The 16,891-nt window shown below is 38.2% G+C and overlaps 1 protein-coding gene across 4 annotated transcripts in view; it reads right to left on the reverse strand.

Annotated features, from left to right (window-relative positions):
• The window catches only part of LRP2 (LDL receptor related protein 2), a 235,426-nt gene that overhangs the window by 80,251 nt on the left and 138,284 nt on the right, over nucleotides 1–16,891 (reverse strand). For all 4 annotated transcript variants that reach the window (XM_011511183.4, NM_004525.3, XM_047444340.1 and 1 more), the window contains 5 exons: nucleotides 13,095–13,204; nucleotides 8,894–9,071; nucleotides 6,298–6,511; nucleotides 4,609–4,848; nucleotides 2,094–2,282 (listed from right to left, as the gene is read on the reverse strand). In XM_011511183.4, the coding sequence (XP_011509485.1) occupies nucleotides 2,094–2,282; nucleotides 4,609–4,848; nucleotides 6,298–6,511; nucleotides 8,894–9,071; nucleotides 13,095–13,204 (931 nt within the window). The remainder of the gene's footprint in view (nucleotides 1–2,093; nucleotides 2,283–4,608; nucleotides 4,849–6,297; nucleotides 6,512–8,893; nucleotides 9,072–13,094; nucleotides 13,205–16,891) is intronic.

Consider the following 16,891-nt stretch of genomic DNA (forward strand, 5'->3'; position numbering starts at 1 on the left):
TATGTTGTCTTTTCCAAGATGATAGTGTCCCAGTCTAGGCTTAGAAAAATAAGTTCTTACTCCTAGGAATTATAGAGATTGTGTCTTCAAATTTAGAGAGAAAGTGCCTATCTTCAGCTTCTAAAGTAGATTAGAATTCATAGCAACATCATAACCCACTTTCTACTGAAAGGTATATTTTCCAGAATGTCCCTCCTTTTCTATCTGAAGCTCTAAATGCTTAATACCTACTTGAAACACTCTAAATATACATTTTCATAGCACAACTTCCATCCCAATGTGATAAAAGTAGCAAAGAGGGAGCACCAGCAGCATCTCAGGTTGTTATTAATGTTATCAAATGGTCTTTGAACTTAAGGTTAACATGAAGTTTTTCCTTAGTCTTTCTAACTAATGTAGGTGTTTTCATCCCATGGACCTTCTAAAAGTGACCAAAAGTCCATTTCCCTTTGGGCCTTATGTACATGCTAGAATAAAAAGATAACTTTATGAAGATAGTATAATAAGTAGAGAATGACCACAAATTATTGATTTCATGTAGTTGAAAGTCTGTTGTTGAACTATCAATGCTACTACCAAGACACACATATTTTGTTCCTATATCTGATTCAAACCACCTCTAGAGAAATCAGGCCAATGTGAAATATGTTACTGATACATTTTTTCATTACCTAACTCTACTTGCTATGTATGCATTTGCTCATTTCCAATCCTTTAATCCAGGGTTGGCAAACTTTTTCTGTAAAGGGCCACATAATAAATATTTTAGGCTTTGCAGAGCATATGGTTTCACAAGTACTCAACACTGCCACTGTAACATGAAAGCAGCCATAGACAATACACAAATAAATGGGCATAGCTGTGTTACAATAAAACTTTATTTACAAAAACAGGCAACAGGCTGCATTTGACGCACGGGCCATAGTTTGCTGACTACTGCTTTATCTATACCCTCAGAAATAGTAATTTCTATTCAGGAACGGGAGTTAGGAACCCAATTAAAGCTTTATTTAACCATACTTCCATATTTACTTTTTGCAATAAACTCTTATTATAGTACTTAGATTTTCATAATACATGCTTATATTTCCTTTTTTTAAATTTTTTTTTAATTCGAGACAGAGTCTCAGTCTGTCACCCAGGCTTGATGGCAGTGGCTTAATCTCGGCCCACTGCAACCTCCACCTCCCGGCTTCAAGAGATTCTCCTGCCTCAGGCTCCTGAGTAGCTGGGATTACAGGCGTACGCCACCATGCCTGGTTAATTTTTGTGTTTTTAGTAGAGATGGGGTTTCACCATGTTGGTCAGGCTGGTCTCAAACTCTTGACCTCAGGTGATCCGCCTGCCTCAGCCTCCTAAAGTGCTGGGATTACAGGCATGAGCCACTGCGCCCTGCCTACATGCTAATATTTCTAAGTGATGCCTACTCACCAAGCTTGATTCAATGATACTGATTTTATGTAGAATTGGATTATATTCCAAAACATATAATACCACTAATTATGAGTGGTATTTTTACTCAGATGAGTGATAAAAATGAGGGGTTATTCAAGCTTATGTGCATGAATAAATACAACTAAGTTAATATAATACTGGACCAGGCATTTAAAAAAATTACTAATAAAATATCTCATGATCTAAGGGATTTTTATATATGAATAAAAGGAAGCAATTAAGAATTTGGCAACTAAAATTGCTCAGCTTCAAAGCAAATGAATGCTGTTCCATAGTTTATATTTTTATATCTCTTTCTCTTGAAAATTTAGAAAATTTCTAATGCAGAAATCAGGTGCAAATCTAAGTGTAAAAAAAACAAATCCACATAATTTAATATTTTAGCCACTTTTGTCTCCAGATTATGTTAATAACAGAAGAAAATGATAAGGATTAATTTGTTATAAATCTGTAAACTGAAACACCGTATCATTTATCAAATAGACACGTAGCTTAATCTAGATTCAATGTATCTTAAATGGTCTTAATAATTGTCTAGAAAAACAAACCTGTAGCACATGGAGTTAGGCTAAACTTTCTAGCATAAAATAAGATGACAGAGATGCAAACATATTAAAATCACCATATAGCTTACATACCTGCTACCCAATCCACTGCAATACCCCGGACTCCATTTTCTCCTATTCCATGTGTCACAATGTTCATCAGAGAAGATCCATCTGGTTTAATTCTACGGATCGCATTATCAGATGCCACTGAGCTGCTAAAATCACACCAATAAATAAAGCCAGAGGACACATCCACATCCACATGCAGTGCGTTTCGTCCTGGAAGTTAAGAAAAGATCATTAAAAAATGCTGTCACTGAAATTAGAACTTTTAAATGTCTGCCCTTCCTCTCAAACCCTCATTCCCAACCCCCTGCTCTGAGCATCTCCCCATTACAAAATGAAACCCTTTTTTCCCAGTTGCAGTGAGCAGACCCACATCTTGGTTTCTACTCTTTCCCACAATAAGGAGCTCTGGCTCCCGGGAGAAATGTTGATTATAGGTTTAGGCAGGGAAGGTACGAAGTGAGTGTGAAACATCTTATTGTACCAAGAAACAAGGCATACACAGAAATATACAGGTCGCCACTTGAAGAGGTTCTCCCTGGCCAAAATGGATCCACTAAAACATCAAAAGAAGGATTACAGTAATTGACTGTAACACACTGAATTTAAAAAATAAAAATTTGAGCCCATAATAATAATAAATTATTTAAAAAGTAAACCGGGGAGACACGAAGAGCTTTCCTTTATAGAAGAATATTATCTAACAAATGTAAAGGGAATGCTAAAATAAGAAAATCACCATTTTGCAATCCTCGATTAAATAATCATTTCAAACAAGGATCATCCATGGCTGCCAAAACCAATGGGTAAAAGGTGCTTGGGAGCCAAGACATTCACAGGGCCTAAGTGTGATTGCATAGATTCCACCAAAATTAAGAAGGAAAAAAAATACAGCTTTAAAAAGCAGCAGTGTAGCAGTGACCACCTTAACCAAGTGATCAAACTCAAATGCCACTAAGAGCAGGGCAAGCTGACATTATGTTCTTCCTAATAAGATTCTGTATCAACTAACACAGCATAACCTATAAAGTATTATTGCTAAATGTATTTAACCTTGATCTAATCAAGCAATTAGACCTAACTTCCATTTCATGAGAACTGCAGGGTAAAAAATGAAAGACAGACTAAATATTCAGACAAATCCTCAGTGTGGGATTCTCAAAGACAACAGGTCTGCCTCTTTAAAACATCAATGTCATAGCAAAAAGCTAGAGGCAACTACTCCAAACTGGAAGAAACTAATGAGATATTCCCAGTGCAGTGCATGAATCTTGATTAGATCTTGGATGGAACAAAACAGCTATATATAAAATATTGTGAGGCCAACTGGAGAAATATGATTATGAATATTTCATAATGCCCTTTGAAACTGTATGCTAACATATGTAGGGGTAAAGTGGCATGGTATTAAAATTTATTTTTAAAAGGTTCATAAAAAATGAATGTGAATGCATATGCATGTACACACACACACATACAAATTGAGAGCTCAAATGTGAAGAAATGTTAACAACTGTTAAATCTTGGTAAAGGGTATAAGGATATTTCCTAAATCTTTCAACGTTTCTGTGTTTGAACATTTTTTTAATGAAAAGCTGGGAGAAAAAAACTATTGAATTTGTCATATCTGTACAAGATGATAACTTAGATCCATAACTTTTTAGATATGGAAAAACAAAGATGAGTCATGGGTCCACGTGAACATGACCATCAGGCAGGAGGACGTGTGGGACTGGAAGCTCTCTGATTCCCTTCTCCAGGTGCATTTCTGTATTTTCTGACCATCTCTACAACCCCTTCATTGACTTCATCCTTTTTTCCTTCCTTTCTACCCTCTATTTCTCTCTTTAGCCTGTGACATTCTCCTAGCGATGTTAGAAAACTCTTAGTTCCTCTTGTGCTAAGGTATACCTAAAAACCTTGGCTCATCTAGGAAGCAAGTGATCGTTTCATACATTCACAGTATGTAAGCACAAAGTGCTGCAAAAATATGATTACTAAAGAGGGACTGACACTGTGAACTCTTTTGCTTCAATTCACCAAATATATATTAATAAATCATATTTGTGGACTATTTCATTACCATATTAAATAGTAGTATACCTTCTACCATAAATCTCCATTAATAATCAGAAATAGGGCACAGTTCTTTGGAACACCAACTCTGTAGTACTTCTTGCAAACCCATCCTACATTCTATATTGCTCTGGGCCTGTGGTTCTTAGCGTGATCCATGGGCCAGCACCGTCAGCATGCCCTGGGAGCTTATTAGGAGTGCAGATTCTCTGGCCCTACCCTAGACTACAAAATCAGAAAAATCTGGGGACGAGGTCTGGAGCTGTGTTGGCGTGAGCCCTCCAGGTGATTCTGAGACACACTAAAGTTTGAAAAACACTTTAGGCTGTGCCAGTTGATTTAAAGGGAAAGGAAAGCTTCATTATGCACTGAATCCACACATGAAGAAATGTTTTCATGGCACCAGGGATTTCAACCTGGTGCCAGATGAAGTCAAATCTTACTTATATTGGAGTTGGCATACCTTGGCCTGCCACCGGCACCATGGTTTCTGAATGATCTGACAATTCCAAGCTAAAGCCTCTGATTGCAGACAGCATTGAAACAACAATGAAAGAGTTATATGGAGAGCAGGACCGATTATCAGGATTGAGTTTAAATCCAGTGGCACAGGCGCAGGAAAACAATCCTCCTGGTACAGGCAGGCAAATCTGCTGACAGGCATTCATGTTGTTGCTACAGCCATTTGAGGATTCGGCGGCATCTAAATGAAAACAAAATCCATTTGTAACTTTTGATCCTAGCTACTCGCCACCCCATCTCAAATTTCTTTAATTGGGTCACCAAATAATTTATTCTAAAAATTAATAACCAACATATAGTAGCTGAGTTAGCAATCTAAAAACAACATCGGAGAGACTAGAGCTTATACAATAACACCTAAAGGTATGAAACCAGTAACCCAACTATTGTATAATAGTTAGAGAATGGGGCTTCACTTGTTTTCTTCTACAAATCATGCGAGGATTAGGGAGGTCAGTATATAAATCTGCTCATAATTTGCCTATGAACTGGCACTTAAAATAATATGTTCAGTTACATGATCAATAATGTGATTTTTTTTAAATATATGAAATAAGATTTAAAGAATAGTCCTGGAATTAATGGCATTCCCAGTGACTTGGAAGAAACTGGAGACTATTATTCAAAGTGAAGTAACTCAGGAATGGAAAACCAAACATCGCATGTTCTCACTGGTATGTGGGAGCTAAGCTATGAGGACACAAAGGCCTAAGAATGATACAATGGACTTTGGGGACTTGGGGGAAGGGTGGGAGGGGGGCGAGGGATAAAAGACTACAAATAGGGTGCAGTGTATATTGCTCAGGTGATGGGTGCACCAAAATCTCACAAATCACCACTAAAGAACTTACTCATGTAACCAAACACCACCTGTACCCCAAAAACCTATGGAAAAATAAAAAAAAAAGAATATTCTTTATAGTAATAAAAAATTAATTTCTATTGCATGTGTTTCTTTCACATGCAGTTAAAAAAATACCTAGTGACAAACTTAGGTTATAGGACAGGAAACAAATTGTTTGATCATCTTTGGCTGAAGACGAAAGCTATAAAATACATCAAAAAATAATACCTGTATCATACCACTAATTTAAAGGGGTAAATCAGAAATTAGATTATCTTTGAAAAAAATGTTGAAATAGGCAACATCCAAAAGCATTCTTTTTAAGACTAAAAATTCCATCCCATTAGCACTTTCCCAGCAGGCATCCAACTCATATGCCCTGAGCACCTTTTATGTGCCAAGCACTATTCTAATCACCGAGTATTGAGCAGCAAACAAGACAGACAAAATGCCTGCCCGTACAGAGGTTATATTCTAATAAGTAACACAAACAATAGAAAACAGGGAGTTCTATGAAGTAAAAGCAAAGTAAGGAATTGAAAGTAATGGGAAGAGAAAGGGAATAAACTTACTCTGAAGTCAATCTGGCCTTTCAGATGCCAAATTAGCCCTTGGCACTTAACCATGTTTAAGACTTCATTATCATTTTTTAAATATTTCAGGTAACTTCAATTTGTATGCACGTGTATGTACGTGAAACTGTGTGTGGGTGTGTGCTTACAAATGTGAGTTATGTGTGAATATGCATTATACACCCATGAATGTATTTCAGTGACAAATACTTACTGCGTCTGTGATAAACTTGAAGACCCCTCAGATTTGGAACATTATCTCTCAAGACTATTTTGTTGGCCCCAGTGGCCTTATCAACTCTTTCAATGACCTCATACTGTTCATCAGTATAATAAAGGAAAGAATCATGGACTGCAATTCCCCAGGGGTGGGAAAGCTGGTGTACCAGGATCATTCGATCTGTTCCATCCACGTTTCCTCTTTCAATCTAAAGGATTGGAATTTTCATTAGTTTCATGGATTCATAGTGAAAATTTTGAACATTTAAACACTAATATTCTCCTAATTATAATGTCTCACATTTATACAGCCCTCTATCCCTTACAGAGATTTTTCACTTCTATTTTCTGATTTGATCATCACAACGACACCAAGCAGCAGGTCAGGAAAATGTCACTGTGCCCCTTTCATTGATAATGAAGACGGAGCTCACATGAGTCAGTCAACCTTTTCAGGTGGCACGGTGAAGAAAAGGGAGCTAAACCACTAGTCCCTGCATGTGATATTCTGGTCAAGGATATACTCAAACATCTAAGCGTGGGCCATTGCACAGGAGCTGACTCACCCTGAGTTTAACACCTTCACTGACAATTTCTGTAATGGAGATTGGAAATATGCCCCCAAACAACCACAGAGGACAGCAAGACAGGACAGGGCCAAAAATGGTGCCATTAAATTTGAACAGATAACAAGCTTTAATCAAAATAGCTTTGGTACACTGGAAAAGAACTACAAGAATAAAGTCCCTAAGGGAAAATGACAAGTAGTCAGCTTCTTCTGGAAGAAAAATGAAATGTAGATGTAGCTGGTTTAATTTCACTCCAAAAACCTGCCTCAAGTGCCTGCTCTGTGCCAGGATCTGGGCTGGGTATTGGCGAGAGACACAGTGTGGCTTTACTGCCATGGCTGAAAAGGGAGCCCAGCAGTTACAAGAGTGGTTATGCTGATGAAACTGATCAAAGTTCTAGAATTTAGAATATAAGAAACATGAGCCTGGAGGAGAGAGTGGAGAGAGTGGAGGCCAGGACCAGATTAGCTGAGCAACCTCACAGAAGTGTTGGGAGCTACTCCTCAGGGCAAGGCTCCAAGCTGAGCCGTGATCCAACTTGCTGACTGTGGCTTTATGAAGAAAACATGTCTCCAACATGAAAGCAGGCTTCACCACTGAAGGCCATGCCTAGTCAAGGCCAGAGAGAGGTTGCTCAGAATGGTGGAGGTGGCAGAAAAGATCTGGGCATGAGTGACAGGCTGAGGATGGATTGCAGCATTTGGTGATGATTAAACCAGGAGAGTGAAGGAGAAATAAGGGAACTACACTAGGAGAAAGGTTGGAGAGTCACACCACTAACAAGCACGTAGATTTAGAAGCTGTGCCCTGTCAGATGTGTGTACAGAAACCATACCATGTAACAAGAGCTTCCTCGTCATTGCACACATGCACCCAACTCTGCAAAGTGTTTTCACACACATCATCACTTCTTTTTAATCTCCAAAGCTTACCACCATTATAGGTCCATATTCGGAGTGAAGTTAGTACTTGTTGAACAAACAATGAACTGAAAGCCAAACCTACTGCACAATATTATGAAAAGCATCAATGTCAAGGATCTGAAGTAACTACTGTTAAATAGCAAGGAAGGGACTAGCATATATTCAGTTCAGCACCCAAAGCAATGCTTCATCAATAATTATTATTGAGCATTGTCTATGTGCTTAGCCCCAGCTCAGTGAAGGTGAAATCCTATTTCAATGAGTGAACGAGACTTTATAGTTTCTGCTTCTTATTGTAGAATATAATGAACCCAACCTTGGAGTTGAAAATCACCACTAAAGAAAGTTTCGCATGTGCATTAATCATGTTAAAATATTAGAGAAGAATGTGTAGCTACGAGGGGATGCTGAGTTCAGAACCTTGCTACGTAAATAAATAGATACATACATACATACACACACACATAGGTAGATACATAGAATATACCTATATCCTATACAGATATATAAATTCTATATTCTATATATAATAGATATATATTCTGTATTCTATAAATATATATTCTATATTCTATAATATATATTCTATATCTATATAGATCATATATAGAATCTATATAGATCATATATAGAATCTATATAGATTCTATATACCATATAGTATAGATACATACTCTATATTTTTTATATATATATTCTCTCCATATATATAGGTATATGTATATTCTCTATAATTGGAGAACCCAGAGTACTTTCAAAGAAAAACACTGAAATCACTAAACCATGAAAGAAATGGCTCTGAAATGACAAGTAAGAAATGACAAATGGAATTAATTTATCTTGAAGAAAAAAAAACGTTGGTGGGGAAATTAATAAACATTACCCTATAGGGAACTATGCACATACTATAAAGAACTGGACTTCAGCTAGGGGCGAGGTACGTGCAAGGGAGAGAAGTTATTGGGAGAAGGGGCAATGAAACACTGGTACAAGTTACCAAGTAAGATTGTTCAAGAACCACTGCCTGACAGCTCAGAACACTCAGCATCAGCTACACCAGCTCAGCATAAAGACCAAAAGACTGAAAGGGTGCTCATACCACTCCTCTTCCAGTGACTGCCCAGTAGAGTTTCTGCTCTTCGATGTCAAGAGTGACACACTCCAGGTGTTCGAGGTTCCCAGTAAAGAGAGTTTTCACAGATGTGCCATCCATGTTAGCACTGGCGATCTTGGCAGGAACCCCACTGTCAGTTCCTTGGTCTGACCAGTACAGCTTCCTACAACCATGAAAAACACCAGCATGTAACAAAACAGAAGGTGGATTTGAGTCAGTGACATAAATGACAATGTGTATTACTTGTCCTCAAGATGCTCACAATACAATGGGCAAAGGCTGAAAATCAATATCTCGTTGCATACAACGTGGAGGGGTACTTCACCAGTGTTCTACCAATGTCGGTATATTTCCTAGCTATAACTGGAGTAGAGGCCACTTAAAATGGTGTCTGGAATAAGAAGCTAGGGTATCCCACTGGCAGCTGAACTTTTAGCATGGTCAGGTGTGTGGGAAGCTTATGACAAGGAAGAAACCTACATCAATAATCCCTCCATCTTCAGTACATAGTGAAGGCCAAAGCTAATATAAAAAGCTGCCAAGTACACTCCCTGATCACTTACCAGGCCTCATTTAATTATTCCCCAAATCACCATCTACCACAAGACCGGCTACTTAATTACCTAACCTGATTTCTGTGATGAAAAATGCAAAGAATTTTGAAAACTGACACAGAAAATAGGAGAAATAATGAGTAACACTTTTCTGTGAGAGTGGAATCTCATTATCATGCTGTTATGGGGTAAGGAAGACTTCTTTTTTCTTTCTATTTCACAGCGATCAGGTACACATGAACCATAATTACCACACAGCATTGCCAAATCCATGATATATGAAAATGTATTAAAATATATTAAGGGCTGTTTTCCATTTCCACTGAAGATGTAAGTTCTAGACTTGAACCCAACTTTTAATTCCTTTTGATTGCACCTCCTTCTATATCTTCAACAGACAATTCTCCTACATTCTTTTCTGAAAAGTCCTTAAACCCCTTCATTTAAATAGTCTTTATTCACCTACCTCTTCCACCACCAAATCAATATACCCGTCCTTTGAATTTCATCTTCAACTCTAAACTTCTCCGCCTCTAAGTTCTCAAACTCTGAAATGCTCTGCTTCGACCAAAACCTCTCATTTCTTCCTTGCTTTAACTTTTCCTATTAAACTTGTTCTTTGCCCTTAAGCCCTGCCTGAGCTCCCAACCCTCCAGTTCTTCTACACCTGGACATCATATGTAACCATTTCAACAATATTCTTATTTATTCTTTTGGGTTCCCATTGTGTCTAAGCTAATCTCCAACCCTGGGTTTCTGCCCTTTTTTTTCTTTCTCCTCTCCCATTTCAGGGTACCAAGAGTTTCCTGGACATAGCACAAAACTTTCGTGAATTCTGAATTCACTAAAAATCTAAGTTCCCTAATCTAAGCTGAGGATTCTCATCCCTAGCAGACTTTATATCATGTTCCGCATATTGACTATTTCAAGTCATTCTACTTCATAAATTTCGAATTCCTTCCCCATAACTTTCACTCTCAATCAATTATTTCTTCATCCTTGATCTTTCATCTGCTGCTAAAGAATACACTCAGGTTTCTCTATTCTGAAAGACATTTTCCTGTTACATTTTGACCTACAAGTTTATCTTTCTCTAACTTTCCAATACAAAATTCTTAAAAGAGTATTCACATTTCCTCATCCTCCTTCCATTCTTTTAACTTCTACTATCTCTATTCAACATCCTCTCTTGAATATCATCAGAGACCCTGTAACTGCCTCAGCTCTTTATTAGTGATCATCCACAAAGATATTTTTCTGCAACAACTGGTTCAATAACATTTATCACAACTTTATCAAGACTTTCTCTTCACTGAGAATCCAAGATATTAGATCCTCAAGTCTCTGTCTTGTTTCTCCTCCTATGTCCTCTGACAAAATTCTAAGCTCTTCTAATTGTCTCCCAACCCAACTGGGTTGCTCTTAGTCACTTGAACAAACCCTCAATTTTCTGTCCCTTTGCTCTTGACCTTCCATCCTTCATATCGCCTGATATATCTTAAAAGCTAGCTCTGCCCAGTGAAATTCTAGGTATGCTTTAAGATCCAGTCCAAATGATATCTCTTCCACCAAGCTGAAATGTCACCTCTTTATAGCACTATCATCCCAATTTTTTTAGCCTCTCTTGTGGCTCTTAATCTTATATGAATCTGGGTTATTGTTATTTATACACAGGCCTTATCCTCCTTACTAAGCCATAAATCCTTAAGGTTGCAAATTAGGTCTTTAATCTTTGTATCCACCCTCTGAACTCCCCACCATGGCCCCATGAAAGAGACTGCCTCCACTTGCCAAAATTAATGTCTTCCTCTTCTCTCTGGGTAAATAGGTGGACTGCATGTCCTTCCGTGCAGTTAGCTGTGGCCATGTGACCCAATTCTAGCTTAAGGAGTGTGAGCAGAAGTGGCGTGCACTACTTGTAGGCCTGGCTCATAAAAACCTCCCAGCAAATTTCTGAACGTTCTTTCCTTTACTGCTCGAAAGATCTTGATACTCAGAATGACCTAGGAAGCCTCCTACTGAAGATGGCAGAGCATCCATCAGCCTGGGTCCTGAATGACTACGTAGAGTAGAGCTTCCTCCCATCTTCTGCCCAAACCCCACTGCCCATATAAAAGACAAAAAAATTTCTATTTTCTTTGAGCCATTACATATTTAGGAGTTTATTTGCTTCAACAGTTAGCTATCTTAACTAACACACCACCCAACAAAGGTACACAATGCAGAAATGTCTGATAAACGAAAAACAAATAATGAGTGAGCCTGAGTTTCAAAAGTAGAATTTCGAACCTAAGACAGTCCTTCTTCTAGAAAGAATAACTGAAAACTAGTACAAGCCAGCAGGCACAGAATAGAATGTTTGCTTCTTGTGCCCTTTAAAAATTGGATTTGGTTTCCATGTCATCCTTATTTGAAACAGAGCGCTAATACAAATTACTTCTTCAGTGCCCTTCTAGGCCTAAGAATCTGATAACTTTCAAACATTAAGCCAAAATCCACTTGGAATGATGCTACAATCTCTTTAAAAAAAAAATCAGTGTTCATATTTTACAATTTGTTATTCTGGTTTATAATATGGTATAGTAGATCAACAGAATGAAATAGCCAATCAAACAGACCGGAGGACTCCAGCCTACATCCATTAAGACCATTTTCTCCTAACTGGTCTCCCTGGCCCTGGCCTCTCTCCACATCAATCCTGACCAATTTTTCTAAAACACAAATTTGGTTCTTTCACTCCCTTCCTCAGGATTCCTTGCTAGGAAGAGAAAACCAAATACCACATGTTCTGACTTATAAGTGGGAGCTAAACATTGAGCACACATGGACATACACATGGGAACAACAGACACTGTGGACTACTAGAGAGGGGAGGAAGGGAGGAGGGCATGGGTTGAAAAACTAACTATTGGGTACTATGCTCACTATCTGGGTACAATATACCCATGTAACAAACCTGCACATGTGCCCCCTATAACTAAAATAAAAGTTGAAATTTTTTAAAAAAAATCCCTACTTGCTCCTTATCACTCAAAAGAATAAAGTTCAACTTCTTAGCATGATATTAAAGGCCCTCCTTGATTTGTCCCCAAATGACCTTATCTGTTGTATCTCCCATGTGGTCAACAGCTCCCTACTCTAAGCCTCTGGTTCCGGCTCTCCCCACAATCCTGCTAAGTGCCGCCATACTTCTGTGCCTTCATGGATCCCTTGGCCTCAAGAGTCACTGCCTGGTTGCAACCCATTCTCCACCTACTAGAAGGCTTCTCATCCTGCAAGCTCTATTGCAAATGTTACATAATCCCTTAGAGCTTTCCGTGTCCTTTCAAAGTCAGAATATATTGTCAATTCTTATAATGCTATTTTAAAATTCCTAAAATTCTTGCTTGTTTGGAATTAATTTTAAATCCAGTGTTGTTCATTTGAAGACCATAGGACAAAATACAAACAATATCCTGCACATTAAATATAGGTCAGAGCTATTTCTCTTTCTCACTGAGATCTATTATTTTTCAAATGTTGACATATGAAATCAGAAGATGTCCTAAATTTGAAATCTTCCATTTTGTCAGACCCTGACATTAACAAGAACAATGCTGCATGGAAGACACGTGCCATTTATGAATACTCACCCACGAGCAGGATCAACAGTTATGCCAATTGGAAAGCCAACTCCAAGAGCTGTCCCATCATTGGCAATCAATGTTTTTCTGTATCTGATATCTCCGTGGAGTGTCAAAACCTATAGCATAAAATCACTTATTAGAACTGACTTTCATAAGGGGAACCAAAGGAAACTGAGATGAAGGAGAACTTATGTACAAAACAAATTCCAAAGCACGATTAGGGATGGATGAGAGAGGATTTGCATGAGATTCAGATAATCTATATTGCACTTCAGGGAAATGAGGAAATTAGCTCAATAGAAAATGAGAGTAAGAGCAGCAAAATCACCTCCCAAGTTCCTACTTCCAACTCACCTAAAATTTCAGGAGGGAACATTTTTATGGATAAAAGGAAGATTCAGTTGGGAAAACATACAGAGCCACTGCCTAAAGAAACTGCAAAAATCCTTCAGGAGAGCTAAGAGAAATCTCTGGAAGACAAATGAGAACCCCACAGCTTTCCTGCACCCCACCAAGGCACTCGGTGGCCAGTTACTGCCAACACAGTTGATCAAAATAGTCCAAATTTACTCAGAGGTACAGTGAATTCTGTTCCAAGTCAACAAACTAAACTGAAACACATGAGCTGAAATCTCTGCCCTGCCAGGTCCTGACTGTACAATCTGAGGCAAATAAATTCACCTCTTTGAACTTTATCAGTCAAATATGGAAGGTCTGCGTAGACCTTACGGGACTAAGAGATAATACAGGTAAAGCAGCACACCACCCAGCACAACTATGTTCAATAAACTTCTATTGTTTAATTGGTCCATCTGTTGGTCACTTACTATATATGAGGTATTAGAGCAAGCATTATTGTATTCGATCCTCATAAACAATTCTGTGAGGTAGATCCCATTATTTTTCTCAATACAGATGGAGAAAAAGAGGCCTACAGAGGTTTAGTGGCTTTCCCAAGGCTGTCTGTGATTATTACTGTTATAATCACAGTGTTAACAGGGCCCTGATACAGCACATAGAAATATAGTTTATTGGACTAGAAAGAAGTTTCTTACAGCAATGAAGCTATTTTAATACGTACCTAAGACAGTCTAACAGACAATTAGTAAGAAATTAGAAAATGTCTGTTGATTTTTGCATTAAGGTTTTTCTATAAAATTGCTTTTCAATACAAATAGATTATTTGTGTTTCTCTGTCTCTCATACATGCGTGTGCACGTGTGTGCACGCATTCACACGCACACATACACACACACACACATATATCCTTCTTTCCCTCATTCTTTTCTCTAAATTTTTTTCTCTGCCTATTGTCTGGTATCTTTCACTCTTGCTTGGACTAAGGTAGCTTTTCTTTTCTCGGTTTGCCTCTTTCTGCTACAATCTCTCTCCTTTTCCTAAGACTAAGGATCTCTTTGGTTCACAGTTCCTTTTCTTGCTTTCTGGAATATATAGAGCTCTCTCTCACACGGCCATTCTGTAGGCTTCACTACAAAATTCAGCTATAAAATTTCTTTTAGTGGATGGGAACACAGCTACCCCTAGTGGATAATAGTTTCTTCAATGTTTCTCTTATTTTCAAGTTGGAGTTAAACACGAACTACTCTTAGGCAGGAAGGAATATTATACAGGTAAACAGAAAGTGAATACGATTCCTATTTTCTTAATTAATCCAACAATCACCTGGAAGACTTACTTACAATTTAAATGACCTAAGGGGAAACACCAGTTAAACCATTAAAAGGGCAGTTTGCCCTTGGATCATTATTCTCACAGGTCTTTCATGGATTTTCTAAAAATATTGATCATTTGAGGGAAACAGCGCTCTGTATTTACAGGATACCTCAGTGTTATGAAGTACTTTTACTTCCTCAGCCATAAACTCCACTGTACAGATGAGAAAACAGGCTCAGAGAAGTTAAGTAATTTGTCCAAGGTCGAATAGCTCATGAGTGGAGAAAATGCAGTGTTGTCCCCAGTCATAAAATGCATTTCCATGTTTCAGGGTCTTTATTCAACTGTTTTTCTCTCCTGGGACACCTTTTCCCTACGTCTTCATTTGGCAGAAATAAAAACAGTCATCCCCCTCATCCATGGGGGACAAATTCCAAGATCACCAATGGATGCCTGAAACCTCAGATAGTACTGAATGCTATATATACTATATTTTTTCCTACATATACACACCTATGACAAAGTTTAATTTATAAATTAGACATGGTAAGAGATTAACCATAATCTGAAAATAGAACAATTATAAAAATATACTGTAATAACAATTATGTGAATGTGGTCTCTCTCTCTCTCCTCCCTTTTAAATATCTTATTGTGCTGTACTCACATATTCTCAGGCCACTGCAGGTAACTGAAACCTCGGAAAGTGAAACCCTCCGATAAGCAAGGATGTATTAGTCATCTTTCAAGACTCAGCTCACAAGTAACCATGAATGGGAAATCTGCATGCTCTCTCCCCTCACTTATACCTCTGCCTCCAATCACTAGCACTTTATATTCACCGGCCTTATCACACTTATGACACTGGAGCACAGGTATTTGTTTATGTATCCATCTCACAGATATGTGAGCTACTTAAAGACAGAAAAAAAATGTTTATTCATCTTAGGATATCCAGGATCAACTGATCCATAGAAAGCATTTCCTAGTGCTCATTAAATGAATGAATAAAATGAGCAAGCAACCCAGACTCAAAGCCAGGTCTTTGGACTCCAAATCAAAATATCTTTCCTCTGTACCACACTGCATCAGGGCATAATTAGAAACTTTTGGTTCATGTGGTTAAAGTGGCCTTACCAATCCATACACACATGCACGCTCAGTTATTCTCCAACTGGCCACTACTGCATTGTACCTAACACTAATGGGAAAGACACGTTCCCTGCTTTTGGAAAACTATCAGTTTAAAAGAAGAGAACCCCATTTACTAATCAAGAGACAAAGAGATAAAATAAGAGCATATTAATTGCCATTTGGAATTAAGACAGCTTTGCACTGGGTGGACTTTAGAGAGATGTGAGTTTGGTAGTAAGGGTCTTAGGCAGTAGATGTTGCCTGTTTAATGGGAGGATGATAGTCTTAGTTGAAATCATGAAAAATATTTTCTGCCACTGTCAAAGAGGGTTAAACCAGTCTGGATTGCCGGAGTTGTAGTTTATAAAAGTGCAAAGAGAGAATACTGCTCAGGAATTAGAGCAGTGAAGCTGACCATTTAAGACATCTTCTTAGCTTCTGTGGGCCTTGGTTTCTGATGTAAAAAAATAAAAATAAAAAAAAGAGTTTGAACCAGAGGAGCCTCCAAGGGGCCCTTCATGTTAACACCTGATAATTCTACCTGGCTTGAGATACTTGTGCACACTGCAAATTTCCCTCTCATCACAAATGGCTACCAGAACTGCCTGCCCTCAGGAATGTTGTGAGGATTAAATTAGATGCTAGTGAAAGATCTTTGTAAACTCAAGCGCTGTTCCAGTGAGAGCTCTTTTCTCTGCCTGGGACACCTTTTCCCTATTTCTTCATTTGGCAGAAATAAAAACAGTCATCTGCACTCATCCATGGGGGATACATTCCAAGATCACCAAGGGATGCATGAAACCTCAGATAGTACCGAACTCTACATAGGCTGTGTTCTTAGTCTACAGAGAGTGCTTTTTAGTATAGATAGGTGCTCTAAATTAGCCAGCAGGCTGCTGTGCGCCTTGCTCATCTTCAGTATCTTTCTGAATGCTCCAGAGAAAAACCGTCTTGCCAGCTGGTGCCCACCTAAAGCAGTGGATTGTCAGGGCTCT

This window comes from Homo sapiens, chromosome 2 (assembly GCF_000001405.40).
Source record: "Homo sapiens chromosome 2, GRCh38.p14 Primary Assembly".
NCBI lineage: Eukaryota > Metazoa > Chordata > Mammalia > Primates > Hominidae > Homo > Homo sapiens.